The 22,417-nt window shown below is 37.5% G+C and overlaps 1 protein-coding gene across 9 annotated transcripts in view, besides 1 other annotated feature; it reads left to right on the top strand.

Moving 5' to 3' along the window:
• The window catches only part of CHM (CHM Rab escort protein), a 186,379-nt gene that overhangs the window by 48,835 nt on the left and 115,127 nt on the right, over nt 1–22,417 (top strand). For all 9 annotated transcript variants that reach the window (NM_000390.4, XM_047441793.1, NM_001362519.1 and 6 more), the window contains 2 exons: nt 16,915–16,987; nt 19,833–19,957. In NM_000390.4, the coding sequence (NP_000381.1) occupies nt 16,915–16,987; nt 19,833–19,957 (198 nt within the window). The remainder of the gene's footprint in view (nt 1–16,914; nt 16,988–19,832; nt 19,958–22,417) is intronic.
• Nucleotides 10,072–10,272: a silencer, noted in NCBI's record as "peak7402 fragment used in MPRA reporter construct". NCBI's record gives its function as "represses an SCP1 promoter by STARR-seq MPRAs in K562 erythroleukemia cells {active_cell/tissue: K562}" and the evidence as "EXISTENCE:reporter gene assay evidence [ECO:0000049][PMID:32103011]".

Below are 22,417 nucleotides of genomic sequence, written 5' to 3'. Positions count from 1 at the left end.
ACAGTATGCGATAGGATACTCTCCTGTGATGCTGGGTAGTGACAGCCAGTCACAGCTTCCAGGCAGCCATGTGATCTTGAGGGTAAGTAGCTGATACTCTACAGTGTTGCCTGATGATTTTGTCCAACTGTAGTCCAACGTAAGGTATGCTTACATGTTTAAGGTAGGCTAGGCTAAGCTATGGTGTTAGGTAGGCTAAGTATATTAAATGCATTTTTGATTTATGATATTTTTAACTTATTGTGGGTACATCAGGATGTTATATCATAAGTCAAGGCACATCTGTATACATGAAAAATGAAAAATATGTGTTATCCTTCCCACATACCACTCCCAAGAGACTCATTATCGTTTTTTATGTTCTGTCTGGGGGACTTAAGAGAGAAAGTTTCATGACAGATGAAGGAGAGTATGAGTGAAAGGATGAAATGAAGTGAATTGATGTAGTGAAAATATGCCATAATAGTATCTCACCATCACCTCTGTGTATTTACTCATTCTTTTCACATTTGAGAATATTATTTAGTAATAGTATGCTGTAGTACTAATAGTGAAAGAACAATAAAAAATTAATTTTTTTTTTACAAATAAATATTTGACAAAAGCTACAAAACGAAATGAGACCATATAGGAATGTATAAAGAAAATTCATCCCAATAGATTTCTTGGGAGCTGTAGAGCTATGGCCAACAGTCATTTCAAAGTGTAGCTTGAAATCTCTATTGTGCTACTGAAGATTATCAGGATTTTTTGTAGCTTCTTCACTTTTTTTTTTAGACGGAGTCTCGCTCTATGGCCCAAGCTGGAGTGCAGTGACGCCATCTCAGCTCACTGCAACCTCTGTCTCTTGGGTTCAAGCAATTCTCCTGCCTCAGCCTCCCCAGTAGCTAGGATTACAAGCATGTGCCACCACGCCTGGCTAAAATTTGTATTTTTAGTACAGACGGGATTTCACCATGTTGGCCAGCCTGGTCTCAAACTCCTGATCTCAAGTGATTTACCCATTGGCCAAAGTGCTGGGATTACAGGTGTGAGCCACCGCCACCGCCCCCAGCCAGCTTCTTCACTTTTAAGGGAGAGTTAGAATTTCCTCCTTCAGGGCTTTGTAAGGTAGGGTAGGTAGTAGTGGTGGGGAAAGTGGAGTAGGGGCTTTTTGTGCTCACTTTTTCTTCAGCATTGACTTGACATTGTATTGGCATCCGTTTTCCTACATGTCATTGTTGGCTATGTTGTGGCACTCAAGTGGGATACCCTAAAACTTGTCAATAATTGTCACTTCTCAAGAAATATAGAAATTATAATATAATTAGAAAGCAGTTGTAAAACTGATTGAGGTTATGTTCTTTTCTAGTTCCTGGGTATCGAGGTGAACAATAAAACAGACTATGACCCCTGCCCTTGGACCCTAGGGGGTATAGACATTAAACATGCTCAAATTTTATATTATAAACTGTACTATGAAAGGCAAAAGGGGAGTACTACTAAAGAATAATAGGGGCATCATTTAGATTTGGTGGTAGGAGGTTGGAGTGAATTGGAGTGGCCGCAATGCAATAATCCCTTATTGACTTCTCACTGTGGATATGACACTCTGAAAATGTTTGAAATACAAATGAAAGAAAATGACAGAGGCAAGTCTTAATCATATTAGGTTTATTTGCCAACATTAAGGACATGTGCCTGGGAGGCAGGTCTGTGCCTTTCTCCAAAGATGCTTTTGAGGGCTTCAGTATTTGAAAGGGAAAGGGCAGATGTTGAGGGAAGAAAAATCTTTAAAAACTGTGTTGATAGATAAAAAGACAAAAGGGTTGCATCCTTTTGAATCTTTGATCAGCCTTCACTGAATACACAATTTTCATATGAGTCTGGGTAGATAGAGGAAATAGCCACTCATACCTTCATCTGGCTCAGTGAATCTGCATTTTTACATAAGATAGTGTAGACAATAGGGTGGAGGAAGCAATCAGATACTCATTTGTCTTAGGTGAGCAGAAGGGTGACTTTGAGTTCTCTTTCCTTTGTCCAGCACCTGTGAAGATAAGCTATATATATAAGGAATTTCCTTGTGGGCAAATTGTGAGGGAGGTATGTTGCTTTTTATCTTCATAGCCATCTTATTTAGCAACCAAATGAGAAGCAGATCTGCATGACCCAGTTCCCAGCTTGACTTTTCCCTTGGGCTTAGTGAGTTTGGGGTCCCAAGATTTATTTTCCTTTCACAGGGAGCCAGCATTATTTTCCTCCGTAATCCTTTTATAGAAATAGTTGATTTTTTAGTAGAGCCGGATTTTTGTGGCTTGAAAAAGCTCTACCTCATGGACTTATTTCAGAAATTGCATCTATATTCGTCAAGTCAATTTTATGCTATTTTTTCTGCCTTGGAAATTAACTGTACATATGTAGAATTGGGTGAGAAATTTAGTTGTGATGCTCTGCTTCAGTAATGAAAGGACAAAAATACTTTGTATAGATGCTCAATTATTATTTGCTCTTAAGAAAACAATATTGATTCAACAGCTATTCATGTGAGGTTTCTTTTTAGTGGCTTGTTTGGAAATTAAGGTTGGTTAGTTTATATTTTCTTTACAGCAAAAGTAAAATAAAATGGCTCTTTCTCTTCTACCAAAATAATCATATATATGTGAATAAGGTAACTCAGAGATAAGTATTTTAAAGGTTTTAGATTCAAGACTACCATAAAGGGATAGGAGAATAAAGTAAACGTAACTTCACTTAGAAGAAATTGTCTCTTTAGATAAATAAAACAGTGCAACCCTGTAAGAGTGAGAAAAATGAACAAGTATCAAAGAATCAGTGTTACCCTAGTTTTCTCCTTTCCTTTTTCCCCCATGTTGAAGACAGATTTTATGATGTCTGTGGAACTAATTTATGAATGAAAGTGATTGTCATTTGTTCAAACTAATCTAGTATTCAAGATGTAAGCTGTTGAAGCCAACATGTAATAATAGCTACCATTTACTGAACAGTTACTTGGTGCTCTACTAGGTATTTTACAAGTGTTTTAACATTTAATTATTACATTTCTCTAAAATAAGTATGATTTCCCTCCTTTTGCAGATGAGGAAACAAACTCAGAGAATTGAAATAACTTGTCCAATGTCACATGCGTATTAAGGGAAAGAACCAGGTTTTAAATCTAGGTCCATTTGACAACAAAGCTTGTGCTCTTTTCTCTAAGATAAGCTGTAGGGTTGGAAAAGACACAAATACTGGGTTTGATGGTCAGGAGATCTGGTTCAAGTTATGACTCTCACTGATTAGTTATGTGACTTGTCTTGTTTTCCTCAACTGTGAAATGGGTCTAGTGCAAAACCTCATTTGAAGAGTCACTGTGAGGGTCCAGCGAGTTACCTGTAAAAAGTTGAAGTGTGGCTGCCAAGGCCTGATAATAAAATGTAGCAGGTTCCACAAAAACTTTTTTTTTTTTTTTTTTTTTTTTTTTAAGTAATAAGGAATGTTTTCACCCTTTACTTTGGAGGGCAGAATGGGAAAAATATTTAAAAGTAATTTATGTATTTGTATGGTCTTAAACCAAATGTCATTATATTTTTAGGTCACTGAAATCCGTATTGACATTTGCAAATTTCAGGAGCTTCATTTGCAAATGATATTATAGTTTTTACATGAGGAGAGAATTTTTTTCCCATAGAGCTCAAACAGAGGCTAGATTGAGACAGCTCTTAATGTAGAAATTGTGAAACATCAGCTTCTCTCTACATACTACTTTGACTTGTTTATTCAGTGGATTTGAATTAGGACAGCTTTTATATGACTAGAAAAATACAAGCAAAGATAATTGAAATGTACTGCTTCTACATACAACTCTCTTCTCCCCTTGAGCAATTTCTTTACTATCCTTCCTCTTTCAAAAATAAAGAGAAAGCTTTTTCTCTTATATTTTTCCTCCTTATTTTTTTGTTTGGTTTTAGTTTTATTGTTTTGTTGGCTTGCTTTGACTTTGAAATGGCAACTATCCCTACAACCATTGGGTGGGGGTGGTAGTTGAAGAATGTCAGTCAGTTTCACAGCTGAAAGTGTGCTCTGCAGCAATAAAGCTTTAAGCTTTTTTCTGACATTCTAATTTTGCTATTTTTCCTATTAATGAAAATAGAGTTTAATTTTCCCTTCCAAGACAAAGGAAGGGTTAAATTTAAGGAACCATGAATATTCTGAAGTAGAGGATAGGGAGAAAGGAAGAGGGAATCAGCAGTCCTTAACCCTTTGATCTGTCATTTCTGTCCTCTCATCTGTGTCCCCATTCTTGTTTCTGTTTGTCTTCTTCCTTCCCAGGGTTGTCAGTGAATGTAGCAATGCCTGACTGGCACTGGACTGTGTTAATTGCTTGCAGAAGTGTGCTGGCTGTGGGTACGTTCTTCTGTGTTCACATTTTGCAAGGAGCGGAGGATGGTGATGATGCTGTTGATAACTTACTATGTGCTAGGCATTGCTTCAAATACTTTCATTTCTATGTTACAGGTAAAGAAAATGAGTTTTAGAGTAACTTCTGTAAAATTACTGACTGAGGTCATGCTGCTAGTAAAAGGCACAACTACAATTTGAATCCAGATTTGTCTGGTGCCAAAGGCTTGATTAATATCATTGCATTAATCGTAATAATTCCCTTAGTTAACTATAATTATTATGCATTAAGGATTCAGAGATGACTAAGCTACTGTCCTTGCCCTTAAGTTGCTCTCAGTCTAGTCACAGGAAGCATTCATGTAATCTGATTATAAGACAGCATGACAAAACTCTAATGGAAGTATGTGCAAAGCTGTGGAAGCACAGGGATCGGTTCTTTTTGAAGAGTTGAAGGCTTCACAGAAGAGATGATACTGAATTTGAGTAGTTCTGTCTTTTTTTACTAGTTCCATCATTAGTTTTATGGTGGAATAGCATTTGGGGCATAGGCAATAGCACTAATAAAAGCAGAGAGATATGCAGGCCCTTGGCTCACTCAAACAATGTTGAGTGTGCAGTTGTGGCTGATGCATGGCAGAGAAAGGCAATGTCCAGAGATAAGACTGGGGAGTTAGGTTGGCACTAAGTTTTGAAGGGTCTTATAGCAATGCTAAGAATTTTGGACTCTACTATAGAAACATTAGTGAGCCATTAAACATCTTTAAGCCAGGAATGGCATAATACTGTTTGCCAACACCTGATCACAATGGCAGTAGTGTGAAGATTGAATTGGAAGGGGAAGAAACTACAGGCAGGGAAACCTTTGATAAGACTAATGCAATAGATAGATAAGAGGGAGTGAGGGCCTGAAATAATGCAGCAGTGGTAGGGATAGCAAGGATAGAAGGGGCTTAAGAAATTAACTAGAATGGATATGTGAGGAAGGAATGATGAATGAGTTTAAGATTTTTTTTTTCTCAGGATAGGAGGCTGTAAGGATGGTGTTGCCATTTATTGAGATAGGGAAACTGAATGGATGACCAAATTGGGGGTGTGGGACAGATAATAAATTTGTCTTTTGGACATGTAGAGATTAAAGTACATCTGGGACTTTTAGTGAAAGGAGGTGTCCAATAAGCTCATGAGTCATGATCTGTGTTTTCAACCAACTAGAAGTAGATTTGAGTCTGGAGCTCACCAGAGGGGCCCAGATTGGAGATACCAATTAGTGAGTCATCAACAGAGAAGTGATAATTGAATCAGTGAAAACAGATGAGATCACAGAGGGAAACAAAAATTGAGGGCAACCTTTGTGTATTATTTGTTCATCTACCTGCCTTGGTTGTCTATAAACGGATTTGAATGGGTGGACTAATGTGGAATGAGTAATAACTCAAACACAGGAAAATCTCTCTCCAGCCCTAATGACTGCGAACACGATCTGGTATTTCTTTCTGGCAGGCTGATCTGATTGCCAAAGCAACTTCTTGTAGATTCATAGGGCTCTCTTAAAACCAAGTAACATTTCAAAACAACATGTTGTACGTGAGAAATATATATACACTTTTTGCTTGTCAATTAATAAAAGCAAATAAGATCCTGGTCTTCCTCTCTGACATTAGAATTGCTTCTGCATACCTTGTCATAGAGGCCCACTTTCCTTGGTCTTGGAATGAGGAGATGGTGAAAGGAGCTCAGCTTTCTTGTGTAGCAAGTATGTGGAACTTACAGTAAATGAGAATTTGTGTAGGGAGTAAGTCCAGTATATTTTCTAGCCTATTCTATTATTTGTCACCAGGGAGATGTCATGACTCTTTGTAGTACTTCAACCAAATTTAAATGAAATAGAGCCTCTTTTAATGTCCATAGTATATTGTACTCAATAATATCTGGCAAATCAATACTAGTAGACATGCCAGACTATTATTTTCCTATTCTTATCATATGTGTGAAGATATTTGTGCACATTAAATGTGAGATAAGCAATAAAATTGGTTGTATTTTAGGTCCTAGAAATGAATAGTTTCCCCAGCTCTGACATTAGAGTAATCATAGCCATGGAATTATTATCCAGATGAATTGGGGTAACAAAATAAAAACTAGATTTCATTCCATCTGCTGTTTGTGAATAGATGCCACTGTCTTTACTTATAGTATGTCAGATTCCAGGATTTGTATTATATGCTTATGTTTATAATTTAAATATTCTAATCTTGTAAATTATAGGAGACAGTGTATTTAGTGGAAAGAGCAGAGGCTTTGGTGCCTGATTGTCCCTGGTCTTAAATCTGGGTTTTGCCATTTCCTAGCTGAGAGAGTTAGACAATATTCAGCTTCACAGTTGTTGTTGTTTTCTCCCTAATTGTAAAACGGGGATAATTGTAGCACCAGTCTCTGGATTCTTGTGAGAATAGTGAATATAAAATGCCAAACTCAACGTATTTAGTAACCTATTTTTGTTGTTCTACTTAACATGGATTAAGCCAGCGTTTCTCAACAGATGCTCTATTAAGCCCTAATCCTTTAATATACTTTAAAAAAAAAAACATGTTTGTTGGTTAACTGAATTTGAGAAATTCTGCCTACTGCTATAATTCCCTCTTGGAGAGCTATAACAGACATTAACATATTTAATCGTGCTGAGAAGCCATCATATAAACAAATCTTTTTTTGTTGGTGTTGTTTAAATTTTTCAACCTAGCATTTTCCAAGTTTATTTTGTCACTGTGCATTGTTTTTTCTTGGGAGACCTATTAATAATAGCTCATTTTGATGGGGTACATTTTAGAAAAGGTTAATTTAGTAATCAGGACCAGGCACTACTCAATTAAGTGTTTGACTTCATTGAACCACAGCTACCAATATATCTTGTGGACTAAATGGTGCTAGCCAGCTTAAAAGTTTGGGAATTTGTAGGTTGTAATGGACAGGATTAGAGTTCAGGAGAACTGAGTTTCAATTGCAGTTCTGCAAATTGTAACTGTGTGGCCCTGACTAGTGACTAAACTCTACACAGACAAGTCATAGTGTCCTCATCTATGAAATAACACCCTTTCTATCTGCCTCACAAGATTGCCAGAAGAATCTATGAGAGAATAGTTGTAAAAACAAGTTGGGAAATTAAAACTGCTGTCAATGGAAGATGGTATTACTACTACTCTAGGAAAAGGAATTGTAAGAGCAGTGAATGAATACTAGGACAGTCTGAGGTTGAGCTATGCTGCTCTTGTTCCCATCGAGCAACCTTGGATCCCATTAGCTACCTGCCTGAAAACATTTTCAACTCCTAATTTCTTAATAATTAGAATGGTTCCCAGATGAATATGCTTGAATGTCAGTAGCTTCATCTTTTGTTACTGTTCTTGGACTTGCTTACAGAAGCCATTTCACAATACAATATGTAGTTTAGTAGCATTTAGCTATGCCTGCTGCTGAATATTCAACACTGAATTGTAATTATGATGCACAATGGAAAAGAAGATTGTTAGGATTTAATTAATAAGCTCCAGTTAATGGGTTTAATGCTCAGCCTTCTCATATAGTTCAACTTTCTTTGAGTCTACCTGTAGTATTGCTTTTCTGTTAAGAGATGTTAAGCAAACTGATATTGCTTTAACATTAAACACCATATGAAGGATGAGAAAGATCTTGATTTAGTTTCAGTACTATTTTTTTCTATTATCTTCTTGATTAGTGTTAAGAGAGGGTTGTATAACTTATTTCCTTATTGTTTCTGGAAAACCTTAGGTGGCACTCTGAATAAGCTATGCGAAGCTTTCAAAAGATTACAACCATGTTTTCTACAATTTTTTTAAAACTTTTATGTCTGCAGGTACATGTGAAGGTTTGTTACATAGGTAAACTCGTGTGATGGGGGTTCGTTGTACTCATTATCTCAGCAACCAGGTATTAAGCGCAGTATCCAAAAGTTATATTTTCTGCTTCTCTTCCTCCTCTCACCCTCAAGTAGACTCCAGTGTTTGCTCTTGCCTTCTTTGTGTTCATAAGTTCTCATGATTTAGCTCCCACTTATAAGTGAAAACACTTGGTATTTGGTTTTCTGTTCCTGCGTTAGTTTGCTAAGGATAATAACCTCCAGCTCCATCTGTGTTCCCACAAAAGACACAATCTTGTTCTTTTTTATGGCTGCATAGTATTCCATGGTGTATATGCACCACATTTTCTTTATCCAGTCCGTCATTGATGCACATTTAAGTTGATTCTATGTCTTAGCTATTGGGAATAGTGCTACAGTGAACATTTGCATGCATGTGTCTTTATGGTAGAATTATTTATATTCCTTTGGGTATATACCCACTACTGGGATTGCTGGATTGGATGGTAGCTCTGCTTTTAGCTCTTTGAAGAATTGCCATAATGCTTTCCACAGTGGTTAAATTTACACTTCCACCAACAGTGTACAAGTGTTCCCTTTTCTCTGCAACCTTGCCAGCATCTGTTATTTTTTCACTTTTTAGTAATGGCCATTTTGACTAGTGTGAGATGGTATCTCATTGTGGTTTTGATTTTCATTTCTCTAATGATTAGTAATATTGAGTTTTTTTTCCATATGCTATTGACTACATGTATGTTTTCTTTTGAAAAGTGTTCATGTACTTTGTCCACTTTTTAATGGGATTGTTTTTCTCTTGTAAATTTGTTGAAGTTCTTTTTAGATGTTGGATATTAGACCCTTGTCAGATGCATGGTTTGCAAAAATTTTCTCCCATTCTGTAGGTTGTGTGTTTACTCTGTTGACAGTTTCTTTTGCTGTGCAGAAACTCTGAAGTTTAATTAGATTCCACTTGTCAATTTTTGCTTTTGTTGTGATTGCTTTTGGTATCTTTGTTATGAAATCTTTGCCCATTCCTATGTCCAGGATGGTATTGCCTAGGTAGTCTTCCAACAATTTAATAGTTTTGGGTTTTGCATTTAAGTCTTTAATCCATCTTGAGTTGATTTTTGTATATGGTGTAAGGAAGGGCTCCAGATACAGTCTTCTACATATGGCTAGCCTGTTATCCCAGCACCATTTATTGAATAGGGAGTCTTTTCCCCATTGCTTCTTTTTGTCAGCTTTGTCGAAGATCAGGTGGTCATAGGTGGGCAACCTTATTTCTGGGCTCTCTATTCAGTTCCATTGGTCTATGTACCTGGTTTTGTACCAGTACCATACTGTTTTGGTCACTGTAGCCTTGTAGTATAGTTTGAAATCTGGTAACGTGATGCCTCCAGCTTTGTTCTTTTTGCTTAGGATTGCCTTGGCTATTTGGGTATTTTTTGGTTACATATAAATTTTAAAGTAGTCTTTTCTAGTTCTGTAAACAGTGTTGTTGGTAGTTTGATAGGGATTGCATTTAATCTGTAAATCGCTTTGGGCAGTATGGCCATTTTAATAATTTTGATTCTTCCTATTCATGAGCATGGGATGTTTTTACATTTTATTTGTGTCTTTTGATTTCTCTGAGCAGTGGTTTCTAATTCTTATTGTAGAGAACTTTTACTTCCCTGGTTAGCTGTATTCCTAGGTGTTTTATTCTTTTTGTGGTAATTGTGAATGAGATTGGCTTTCTGATTTGGCTCTTAGCTTGCCTATTATCGATGCATGGGAATGGTAGGGATTTTTGAACATTGGTTTTGTATCCTGAAACTTTGCTGAAGTTGTTTATCAGCTGAAGGAGCTTTTGGGCCCAGACTGGGGTTTTCTAGATATAGAATCATGTAGTCTGCAAACCAAGACGGTTTGACTTCCTCTTTTTCTTTTGGATGCCCATTATCTCTTTCTCTTGCCTAATTGATCTGGCTAGGACTTCCAATACTACGTTGAATAGGAGTGGTGAGAGAGGGCATTCTTGTCTTGTGCCAGTTTTCAAGGTGAATCCTAGCTTTAGCCCATTCAGCATGATGTTGTCTGTGGGTTTGTCATAGATTGTTCTTATTATTTTGAGATGTATTCCTTTAATACTTAGTGTGCTGAGAGTTTTTAACATGAATGAGTGTTGAATTTTATCAAAAGTCTTTCCTGCATCTATTGAGATAAACATGGTTTTTGTCTTCAGTTCTGTTTATGTGATGAATCACATTTATTGATTTATGTATGTTGAAGTAACCTTGCATCCCGGGGATGAAGCCTTCTTGATCGTGGTGAATTAGCCTTTTGATTTGCTGCTGGATTCCGTTTGCAAGTATTTTGTTGAGGATTTTTGCATCAATATTCAATCAAGGATACTGGCCCGAAGTTTTCTTTTTCTGTTATATCCCTGCGAGGTTTTTGTTTCAGGATGATGCTGGCCTCATAGAATGAGTTGGGGAGGAGTCCCTCATTTTTTTGGAATAGTTTCAGTAGGAATGGTACCAGCTCTTCTTTTGTGCATCTGGTAGAATTCGGCTGTGAATCCATCTGGTCCTGGGCCTTTTTGGTTGATAGGCTATTTATTTCTGATTCCATTTCAAAGCTTGTTATTGGTCTGTTCAGAGAATCAGTTTATTCCTAGTTCAGTCTTGGGAGGGTGTATGTGTCCAGGAATTTATCCATTTCTTTTATGTTTTCTAGTTTGTATGCATAGTGGTGTTAATAGTAGCTTCTGATGGTTATTTATATTCCTGTGGGGTCAGTGGCAACATTCCCTTCGTCATTTGTAATTGTGTTTATTTGTGTCTTCTTTCTTCTCTTCTTTAAGTCTAGCTAACATCCTATCTATCTTATTAATTTTTTCAAAAAGCCAACTCCTGGATTCATGGATGTTTTGAATAGTTTTTCCTGTCTTCATTGACATTCTTGGTTGCAAATCTTTTTCTTTAAGAATGTTGAATATGGGTTCCCAATCTTTTGTTGCTTGGGTGGTTTCAGCTGAGAGGACCACTTTTAGCCTGATGGGGTGCCCTTTCTCTCTAGCTGCCCTTAATGTTGTTTCTTTCATTTTGCCCTTGGAACATCTGAAGATTATGTGTTTTGGGGATGATCTTCTTGTGTAGAATCTTGCAGGGGTTTTATGTATTTTCTGTATTTGACTGTTGGCCTCTCTAGCCAGGTTGGGAAAATTATCATGGAAGATATCCTGAAATATGTTTTCCAAGTTGTTTGCTTTTCCCCTGTCTCTTTCAGGGATGCCAGTGATTTATAGATTTTGCCTGTTTACAGAATCCCATACCTCTCAGTCATATTGTTTATATCTTTTTATTCTTTTTTATTTTTGTCTGTCTTATTTTAGAGAACCAGTGTGCAAGTTCTGAGATTCTTCCCTCAGGTTGGTTTATTCTGCTGTTAATACTTGTGATTGCATTGTGATATCCTTGTATTGTGTTATTCCACTTTGTCAGATTTGTTAGTTTTTTTTTTTTCCAGCTGTTTCATCCTTCAGCTCTTGTATTATTTTATTGTGATTCTTAGCTTCTTTGGGTTGGGTTTCTCCATCCTCCTGAATCTCAAAGATTTTCATTTCTTTCCATATTCTGAATTGCATTTCTGTCATTTCAGGCGGCTTAGCCTGGTCAAGAACTCTTGTTGGAGAACTGGTGTGGTTGTTTGAAGGACATACAACACTGGCCATTTGAGTTACCCGAGTTCGTGCATTGATTCTTTCCCATATCTGCCTGTGGGTATTCCTTTAACTAAAGTGTAGAGTGAGTACAGTCAGTAGACTTCTTTTCTGGTTATTTTCACAGGACCGAGGCTTCGTACAGGGTCTTTATTGGAAGCTGACTTCTTGTCTTTGGTTTAAGAGAGGTACGTATGTTAGTGAGTATTTTTGGTCTTGAAGCTTTGGCGTGTCATCCAGTAGGTGGCATTTAAGTGTACTGGTTAGTTGATAGATTCTTGCTTGGTTGTGTGCCTCCGCTATGTTTCCTCACAGTTGCAGCCATGTTCCCTATCAATGCTCTGAAAGTGTGGGTTCCTCTCCCCTTTGAGTGCTGGCTGTAGACCATAGCTTGGTGCTCCTGGGCTGCCCACTGAAACTCTGGGGTGATCTCAGCATTTATGTTTTTTCCACAACTTGGAGGCAGCAGAGTAACGGACCTTAGTAGTGATTTTGGCCAAGGGTCTTTTACTTGTATCCTGGGGGCTCCACCCCAGAGAGATGCAGGTCAGCAGTTGCTCAGTGAGAGCAGTCCAGGATTCAGGATCTGTGCTCTGGGCCCAACCTGGGTGTTCTCTAGTGGCGAGCAGTCGGGGGTGGGTGTGACCTATGGGAAATGGACTGACCCCTTTTTCTGTTGACTACAGTTAGTTGGAGGTTTGGGTAAGGCACTTAGGGTCTTTGCTTCTTCGTTAGTCCAAGGGTAGCAAGGGAAGTCTGCTGCAGAGGCAGTGGCAGAGAGGCTTTCAGTTGCTCCTGGGGGCTCTGTCCAGGGAGTTGCCGAGCTGCTACTGGCTTAAATAGCTCTGGTGAGGGTAGCTGGTGACCCAGGACTGGAGGACCTGCCTGGTGTGGAGTTATGGGAACAGGCTCCCATGTAACAGTCTGGCTGCTTTTCTGTAGGGCTGCTATGGTATACTGGGTGCCTGCTCCAGTTGCTAATGACCTTGGATTTTCCAGTACCTCAAAGTATCAACATAGAAGGTTGTGAAGCAGCAAAGATGATGGCCTGCCCCTCCCTCTGGGAGATCCATCCGAGGAAGATGTGGACTTGTTGCCAGCCTTAAGGCACCTGTAGAATATGGCTGGAGACTTTGGTTGGGAGGTCCTGCCTCATGAGGAGGAATGGGATTGAGGTTCCACTTAAGAAATGCTGTCTGGCCATCTTTTTGTAGAGTAGCTGTGATGTGCTGGTGGACCGCTTCCGTCCCTGGTTGGCTTGGACTCTCCGAAGCCTGAAGGCTGGAATGGCTATGTCATCCAAAGAGCAAAGATGGTGGCCCACCCCTCCCTCTGGGAGCTTCCTTCCAGGGAGGTTTCAAATCTCTTTTGGCCAGAGAACACTGGCAGGGGCTGCTGGTCCCAGTTGGGACATCCCACCCAGTGAGGAGGAATGGAATCGGGGACCACTTATAAAAGCAGTCTGGTCACGTTTTTGTAGAGCCGCTGTGCTGGGCTTGGGGGACTGGGTCTGACCTGCGATGGCTTGGAGTCTCCAAAGTCCAAAGGCTGGAAAGACTAAGTTGCTCAAATAGCAAAAATGGCAGCCCACCTCTCCCGCTGGGAGCTCTGTCTCAGAGAGGTGTGCAATGCGGCTCCCTTTGGCTGGCTAGACTTCCAAGCCAGTGGTTCTTATCCTGTGAGGTGCCATGGAAGTGGGGCCTGCAGATTGTTGCTGCCCAGTCCTCTGAATTCAGCCCCTTTCCTAGGGGTATGTATGGGGGTCTAACCTCCCACTTCTTTGGAGTCGCAGCTTCTTTAGCCAGGTTGCCTGGAAAGTCACAGTCAAGTCCTGACCCCACTCCCAGTCTTGTGATATTTTTCATCATAGATTAACTTTTTCCATAATTTTATATAAATGGTATCATATAGTATGTACTCTTTGGCCAAGGCTTTCACTCAGCATAATGCTTTTGAGATGCATTTATGTTGTATATAGCAGGTGATTATTCCTTTCTATTGGTGAATAGTATCCCATTTTATGGATATACGACAGTTTGTTTATTCATTCTCCTGTTGATGGATACTTGGATTATTATCAGTTTGGGGCTATTAATAAAGCTGCTGTGGAAAGACTTGTACAAGTATTTTTGTCAGTATATGCTTTTCTCATGTGTAATTTCCTAGAAATTGAAATTACTCGATCATAAGGTGGGTATATATTTATTTATTAAAAAACTACCAGATATTAGAAAGTGCTTGTACCATTTTGTATGTTCACCAAAATATATGAGCATTCTGGCCATCCACATCAATACCAGGTATTGACAATCTTTTTAATTATTTTGGTGGCTACGTACTGGTATCTCATATGCTCATTTGTAATGCTATTATAATATGCACTTACCTAATGATATTGCGTACTTTTTCATGTGCTCATTAACCATGTTCTTTTGTGAAGTGTCTCTTCAAACCCTTTGCCCATTTTTACCTTTTAATATCTGTCTTATTAAGTTGAAAGAGTTCTTTATATATTCTGGATAACAAGTTTTATTTTTATTTTTTATTTTTTATTTTTTTTTGAGACAGAGTTTTGCTCTTGTCACCCAGGCTGGAGTGCAGTGGCACGATCTCGGTTCACTGCAGCCTCTGCCTCCTGGGTTCAAGCAATTCTTCTACCTCAGCCTCCTGAGTAGCTGGGACTACAGGTGTGTGCCACTACGCCCGGCTAATTTTTTTCTGTTTAGTAGAGACGGGGTTTCACCATTTTGGCCAGTCTAGTCTCGACCTCCTCACCTCAGGTGATCCGCCCACCTCGGCCTCCCAAAGTGCTAGGATTACAGGCATGAACCACCGTGCCCGATCAATACCAAGCCTTTATTAGATATGTTTTGTGAATATTTGTGTCTGGCCCATTCATTTATTAAAATAATTTATTTTTTAGGGAAGTTTTTCATTTTGAGGAAACCTAATTTATCAATAGTTTTAATTGCTTTTTGTGTCCGAAGAAACTTTTGTCTGTCCCCAATGTTAGATTTTTGATATATATTTATTACTTATATATTGGTATATCCATTCAAATAAATTTTACTTTGATCTTGAAGCTTTCACCCATTAGCCAGTGCTGCTCACTTAAGACTTTATGTTGATTGCAAATAAATCTAAATATCTCAACAAATAAATATAGTGTCAGTAGTTTCAGGTTTTTTTCCCCTCCTTCAAAACCTAGGATATTTTCTAGTTTTGTTGAGTATTATATTTGGAGGATGGGAAGAGATAGCAGAATTGTATTCTTCTCAGGCAAAAGGGATGGAAGTATAAATTGCTATGGGAAAACCTCAAATTCTAACATTCCTCTGTCTTCTCTATACCTGCCATCACCCACCTTCTCCTTCCTTTCACTGTTCTCTCTGATGCAAGGGGTCACTGCTTGTAGGTTTCCTGATTCCAACATTTTGGTAAAGGGTGACCATCTAGAATTGCTACTATAGCTGAAATTCTAGCTAAATTTTAAAGACCATTGGAGATTCTGGACAGTGCATGAATTTACATTATTTCCGAAGAGACCATCAGATGTAAGTACGATATGATCTATATTAATAAAGCTACTTTCACAGGCATTTTATTTAACCCTTTTCTCTGTTAGAGAAAAGCAGTATTTGTTTGGTAAAATGCTTGAGCCTAAAATCTGCTTACTTTTCAGACCTGTGTTGACAGTTGATTTAGGAAACATGAATCAGAATTGGGAGATGATCTCCAGTAGCATTATGGAAGAGTTATTTTATATTTTATTTCATTTCATTATTTTATTTTATGATAGGGTCTTGCTATTTTGCACAGGCTGGTATTGAACTTCTGGGCTCAAGGACTCCTCTCTCTTCAGCCTCCCAAGTAGCTGGGATTACAGGTGTGTGCCACTGTGCCTGGCTGGAAGAGTAATTTTAGATATCACATTATAGGTTTTATTTTTTGTTTAATTGTTTAAAAACCTTTCATGGATTTTTATTTTATTAGAGAAACAGAGAAGCAAAAATGAAAATGGAAACAAAACCAAGAATCCCTCCCAACCAGAACCAGAATGGGTGTTGTAGGTGGGATCAAGTGTACTTGGGGGCTCATCATACAGAGTCAGTAAGTGCAAATCGTTTTACAAGGATCCGGAGCCCCAATATGCAGTGAAGAATTAAAGAGTTCTGGTTGCAAAAAATCCCCACTTAATGATCTAATGTCTACAAGGTTTACCTGACCTATTTAGGAGACCTCTGGGTTGTCCAAAACAGCGATCTTCACAGGACTGAGTAATGAAGAATAATAGCTCACCCGGTTATTAGTGATAGTTTTGTTTCTATTATACTTATTGCAAATATCTTGATGTGATGTGAATAACTGTTTCCCAGTATCTCCTTTTATTTTTGGCCCTAAAGGCTAAGAATAGCACAGGGTCTTCCACTTTATCTAGAGTAGCCAATTGTGTGTCTGTGTGTATGTGTATGTTTTGTGTTGGAGATGGGTTTGGTGGTGGTGGTGGTGGAGGTGGCGGAGGTGGTGGTGGAGGAGGAGGAGATTTAAGTACTTACAGAAAACTTAGCAGTTTTTCAGTAGCTTTCTTTGAGATCTATCAAGGTTTTCTTCCTTGCCACATTTGTTAACCCAAGAGTCATATATATTCATGTTACCTGCTAAATGCCCATGTCAGGCGGTTCACATAATCAGTGGAGAAAGCTTTAAGGGAGCCAAAGATGTTTTTTAACTCCTTATGTGATGAAACATTTCTTTTGGGATCTGAGAGGCCTACTTTTAGCCTACCACTTCCACTTATGTGAGCCTTCCAATTATGTGTACTTTTGAACTCTTGAGGCAGTAATATTAAAAAGTGAAGTAAGTTTAAGGGTTAAAGATGGTTTGTTGATGAAGATCAGTGAATTGATTTTTATACCATTTTCTTTACTTTTTTTTTTTTTTTTAATTGTTACAGAAGAAGCTACTATGGAGGAAACTGGGCCAGTTTTAGCTTTTCAGGACTATTGTCCTGGCTAAAGGAATACCAGGTAAAGTTTGTATCTGACCTTTTAATTTGCTTTGTTTTATTGTATGTTACATAGTAACCCTGCACTGAAGAAAACCCTAAGCTTCACCTGTAACACAGGATTGATTCTTTATTTTTATTCACTTATTTTACAAAAAATATGTAAAGTCACCTTTTTAGCTAATATTTTCCCAATGTCTTTATCCCTTTTTAAATATAAATAGAGCTCGGGTGCGATGGCTCATGCCTGTAATTCCAGCGCTTTGGGAGGCCAAGGTGGGCGGATCACCTGATGTCAGGAGTTCGAGACCAGCCTGGCCAACATGGCGAAATCCCATTTCTACTAAAAATACAAAAATTAGCTGGGCATGGTGGCACGTGCCTGTAGTCCCAGCTACTCAGGAGGCTGAGGCAGGAGAATCACTTGAACCTGGGAGGTGGAGGTTGCAGTGAGCCGAGACTGCACCTTTGCACTCCAGCCTGGGCAACAGAGTGAGACTCTGTCTCAAAAAAAAAAAAAAAAAAAAATATGTGTGTCTATATATATATATAGAAATAGAAATGTTGGTTGAAGAGTAAACTGTTTGTACTTAATAACTATTTCCTAATTATTTATGTGCCCAAATATAAGATGATAATTTTTTCCCCAAAATCATCTTTAGAAAAAATATCCTAGTCCTTATAAAATCTCACATTTACTGGTTGCTCTTAGAGTCAGTATATTTTGAACAAAAACCTTTTTTGAAAAAAAAGAAAAAACCTAACAATTTGGGGAATATACATTAATTTGAAATGATCTCAGTGGTGATTTTGTATTTTATAGAGGTCACCTGACACAATCAGCCAAAAGAAAAAATCAAAGAAATTTAGTATGAATTAAGTAATTTTTTTTCTAAGAGTAGGATCTCAATACTAAGCTGTTGAATACCATTATAAAGAAACTGTTTAGGGATCACGTATAGCATAATATGGAGAGTCAGTTATGGAGCTTGCCAACTTTTATAAGACAGATTTAAAAAAATCTGTCCTACTCTTATGCAGATTGGTACATGTGGCTTGAAATGAAATTTCTGCTGAGAGCATCATACAGAAGATCAGAAACTGCTGTATCGCAAAAGAATTTAGATGTTTGGAAAGGAGGATGATGTAGTCCAGAAAATTGTATTCAGTTAGCTAAGACTTGTTAAGCATTTATCATGTGCCAAGCACCATTGCATTGATTGATTGATTTAATCAATGTACATGACTTAATCAGTATACATGACTCAAAAAGTGCCTCTCATGATGACAAAGACACTGATATTGAAGATGCAGTGAAAATTCAGTTTGAATATTGTTGCATGAAATGAGTATAGAGAAACAAGCAGTATTTGTAAAGTAGCATTTCATATAATAATTCAAACTGTGTAAGTCAAGAGAGTAAATAAGTAGATATTTAACTGTTTAGTCTGTGCTTAAATATTCATGTATTTACTTTGATCAGAAACTCTTTTTTGCACCTCATTTTTGGGAAGTGTATGTGAGGGTCACCTTATATTTAGGCATATTTAGTACTTCCATGAGAAAATGTAGTGTAGATTCTCAAAACAACAATAACAAAATATACCCCAATAGTCTGAATGGAAATTAAAAAAAATACATTTGGTAATGTTTATTATTTATTCAAATAAAAATGTTTTTCTTGAAGTTTAGTTTATTTTAATGATTGTTTTACTCCAGAATCTTGACCCTGCCACTGTCTTTGTCTCTCCATTCCCTTTCCCTGGTCCACAGTTCTTTTCTTAGGCTGGTAACCTCATGTCTACACATTCAAAAATCTTGTATTTCACCTTCTCTTCTACTTATGTTTGGATGTTTAGTACTATCTAATATTATACTTGATAATAAGAGCTGTATGTCACTACTTTTCTTCAGTTTAAAATGTTAAACTCAGGACAACAAAGCCTTTTAAAAATATTTATTGCCTTTATGACATTTGTAAGTTTAAAAGTTTTCTGAGATGAATTTACTTAAAAGATATTGTAATTCTATTTTCCTACTAGTTCCTTCAGTATGTATAATACAGTTTCAAAAAGTTTTCTCTGAGAAAGATGTGTATTAAACAGCTTAAAATTTTAAACAGATTAAAAATTGATCCTTGACATTTGAAAAAGGTATATCTTGACACCTTCAAAAATACTGTGTATTCAAATACTCCATAAAATATAATTAGGAATTACTGAACATTTTAACGGACCACTTTCAACCCTTAGTGAGAGTTTACATGCTTTAGTACACATTCTTGTTTTTTATTGTCTTTCTTGTTTTTTAAGGTATTCAGGGACTAATTATTATAAAGCCCTTAGTTATACTGGGCTGAATATTTTTCAGAAGTACTTTTATATGTAATCAAAATTTGATATGACTAGCGACCAACCTTCAAAGATCTGAAAATAAATAGAACGAAGTTATTTTGACTCTGCTGTTTTGACCAAAAAATGTTAAAAAAAAGGCCCTGTTTTTATTAATAAGTAATGTATATAACAGATATACTTGATTCTCAGCAGATAGAGGGTTAGTTGTCCTAGTTCTTAAGCAATGTCCAAACAGCCATGTCCGAATGACTTTTTCAAAATTTCATATACCCTGACAGAAATCTGTAAATCAGATCTAGTTTTTGATAGTACAGATTTTACACATTGTTTTTCTCCCCTTCCTTTGAAGTTGAAACACTTGTTGGACTTTCTTTGGTGACTCTGAGGTGATATCCTTTGAGTTTTGGTAAGATGAAATAAGCATGAATTTAGACAAGAGGTAAATTTTCTCAGAAAATTGCATGTTTCACACTGCCCACTTTGATTAAAACTTCTTATCTGTGTTTTGTTTAGGAAAACAGTGACATTGTAAGTGACAGTCCAGTGTGGCAAGACCAGATCCTTGAAAATGAAGAAGCCATTGCTCTTAGCAGGAAGGACAAAACTATTCAACATGTGGAAGTATTTTGTTATGCCAGGTATGAAAAGTATTTACTGCAGGTAAACTAAATTAATGACTTTTTCACTCTTCTTTAGAAGAAGCCAACAATAAAGATTTATGTGGCATTGGTTGCTACAAGTCACGTTAATATGCTGGTTTTGCCTGTTTTTAAATGGAACTTTCAGTTGTCTCTGTTTAGGTAATAATGATAACATTTTACCTTAACGCCTCCGAATTTACCAAGCCGTTTTAAATATATTATCTCATTTGATCATTAAAACAATTCTTTGCTAGGGTAGGGCAGATAGTAGTATTAATAGTTGGATTTTTTTTACAGAATCCTCAATGGAACTTAAGGAGATTAAGTAGTTGCAGAAGGTCACGTGGCTTGGTAAACGGCAGGGCCACACTTAAGCTCCAGAGTGGTAGAGCTCAAGATTAAATTCCAGAGTTTTTCCTAGTGCTCCAGTGTTCTTCCAACTATATCATCTTTCTTAGATAATACTCAGTGTAGCAAAATGGAAGATTATCATTTTTGAATACGTAAATTTTGTGGGCATAATATTTGGGTACATATTTTGGTAAATTAGGATAGAACAGTTGGAAGTAATGTTTTAAGTATCTCCCTCTGAGTGAGAGATTCACTGTTTAAAAACAATTGGATTAGTATACTTTTTCAAATGATATATGATTGACAGGTTAAAAGGTAATAATCACATAGTTAAGCCATTCAAGTAGTTATAGAGTCCAGAGGCTTAGAACATCAGTCTGTCAGGCACTTTAATAGTAATTAAAACTTAAAATTCAATACACCAGAGATTCTTCAGGATACGCTTTGTCATCTTACATATCATTGTTGTGGCAGAGTGTTAAGCATGAGCCTGTGAAAAGTTTGGTAACATGTGCTTGACTTCTTAACCTATGTTCATATCTTCCATGTAAGTAGCATTCTTTCCCCATAATATACTGTTTGTGTTCTGTGATTTTCTGTAAAAGCACAGCCTTTGAAATGTCTGGTATAGATTATAATTTGTATAATGCTAAATACCATTTGGTATGAAAAGGTACAGCTCACTAGATATTCTTCAGAGCCAGTGCTGAAAGATTTAAAACGGAAGATGATTTCAACTGAAAAGACATATGCTTTAACGAAATGAGGAATAAATATTTGGTAACTTTCTTACGTGCTTTTGTGTGCCCATGAATATTATATTACTTGACTACAATATAGTGACAGTCACACTGGCCTTCTGAGAGGTATTATACTTTTGTTACTTCAAGGCCACTGATTACTTTTTATGATAATTGAGGTTAATAGTTTCTAATGGCTGAGTTGATACATTTTGAGTGCAAAGAAAATTATCTCATTTTCAGTTCCTGATCTCTTCAGTTTCGTTTGTATAACTTCTCAAAGTGAGAAACTAAATGGTTGTTGGTGGAAGGTTTGTTTGAAGACAACGAAATAGAACTCTGTTATATGTTCCTCTTGCCAGTTAGAGCGTGGAGCATAAAGTGAACTGGGATAATGTTTTATATGTCTTAATTCACTTGGAAAAGTTAGCTGGTTATTAATGTCATAGTAGTAAGCAGGAAAAGCCTTGAGAACATCAGGAAAGTAGAGAAAGTACAGAAAATCCATTTGTAAGGGCTATCTATAGTAAGTGCTGGCAACATGGGTAAATAGGACTAACAATATCTCACTTAGCCCCAGCAAGACTGGCATCCTTAATCTTTTGGATCATGTTCACAAACTTGAAATTATATGAAAGGGGCTAGGGCCAAAATAGTTGTCACAAAGTTTTACATTATACAGGAGGTTATCATCAGCACTCACTGACTTAAAAGCCTTATTTATTTAATACATATTTCTGACAACCTCATTTTCTTTCTGTGTGTGTGTGTGTGTGTGTGTGTGTGTGTGTGTGTGTTTGTGTGTGTTTTCCCCCTAGCATTGTAGTTTAAAGCAGCAAATAGGAAAGGGGTATCTGCTAGAGGCAAGCAAACTGAGAACCACATGGAGACTAGGGTTATAGTCCTTGACTTGCTATGTGATACTGAGCAAGGGATGTCTCTATTTTGAGTCTATGTTTTGCCATTAATGAAACGTGTTTGGAAGGGTTTGGACTAGGCGATCTCAGAAGTCTCTCTGGGCTCTAACATGCTACTATTTTTTTTTTTTTGAGACGGAGTCTCACTCTGCTACCCAAGCTGGAGTGCAGTGGTGCGTGGTCTCTGCTCACTGCAAGCTCCGCCTCCCAGGTTCATGCCATTCTCCTGCCTCAGCCTCCCGAGTAGCTGGGACTGCAGGCGCCTGCCACCACACCCGGCTAATTTTTTGTATTTTTAGTAGAGACAGGGTTTCACCGTGTTAGGCAGGATGGTCTCGATCTCCTGACCTCGTGATCCACCTGCCTCGGCCTCCCAAAGTGCTGGGATTACAGGCGTGAGCCACTGCGCCCGGCTCTAACATGCTACTATTTTAAGTGCTGCTTGGTAG

Source organism: Homo sapiens, chromosome X, assembly GCF_000001405.40.
Source record: "Homo sapiens chromosome X, GRCh38.p14 Primary Assembly".
Lineage (NCBI taxonomy): Eukaryota > Metazoa > Chordata > Mammalia > Primates > Hominidae > Homo > Homo sapiens.
Note: the sequence above shows the minus strand (reverse complement) of the source record. Positions and strands in the feature narration are given on the sequence as shown.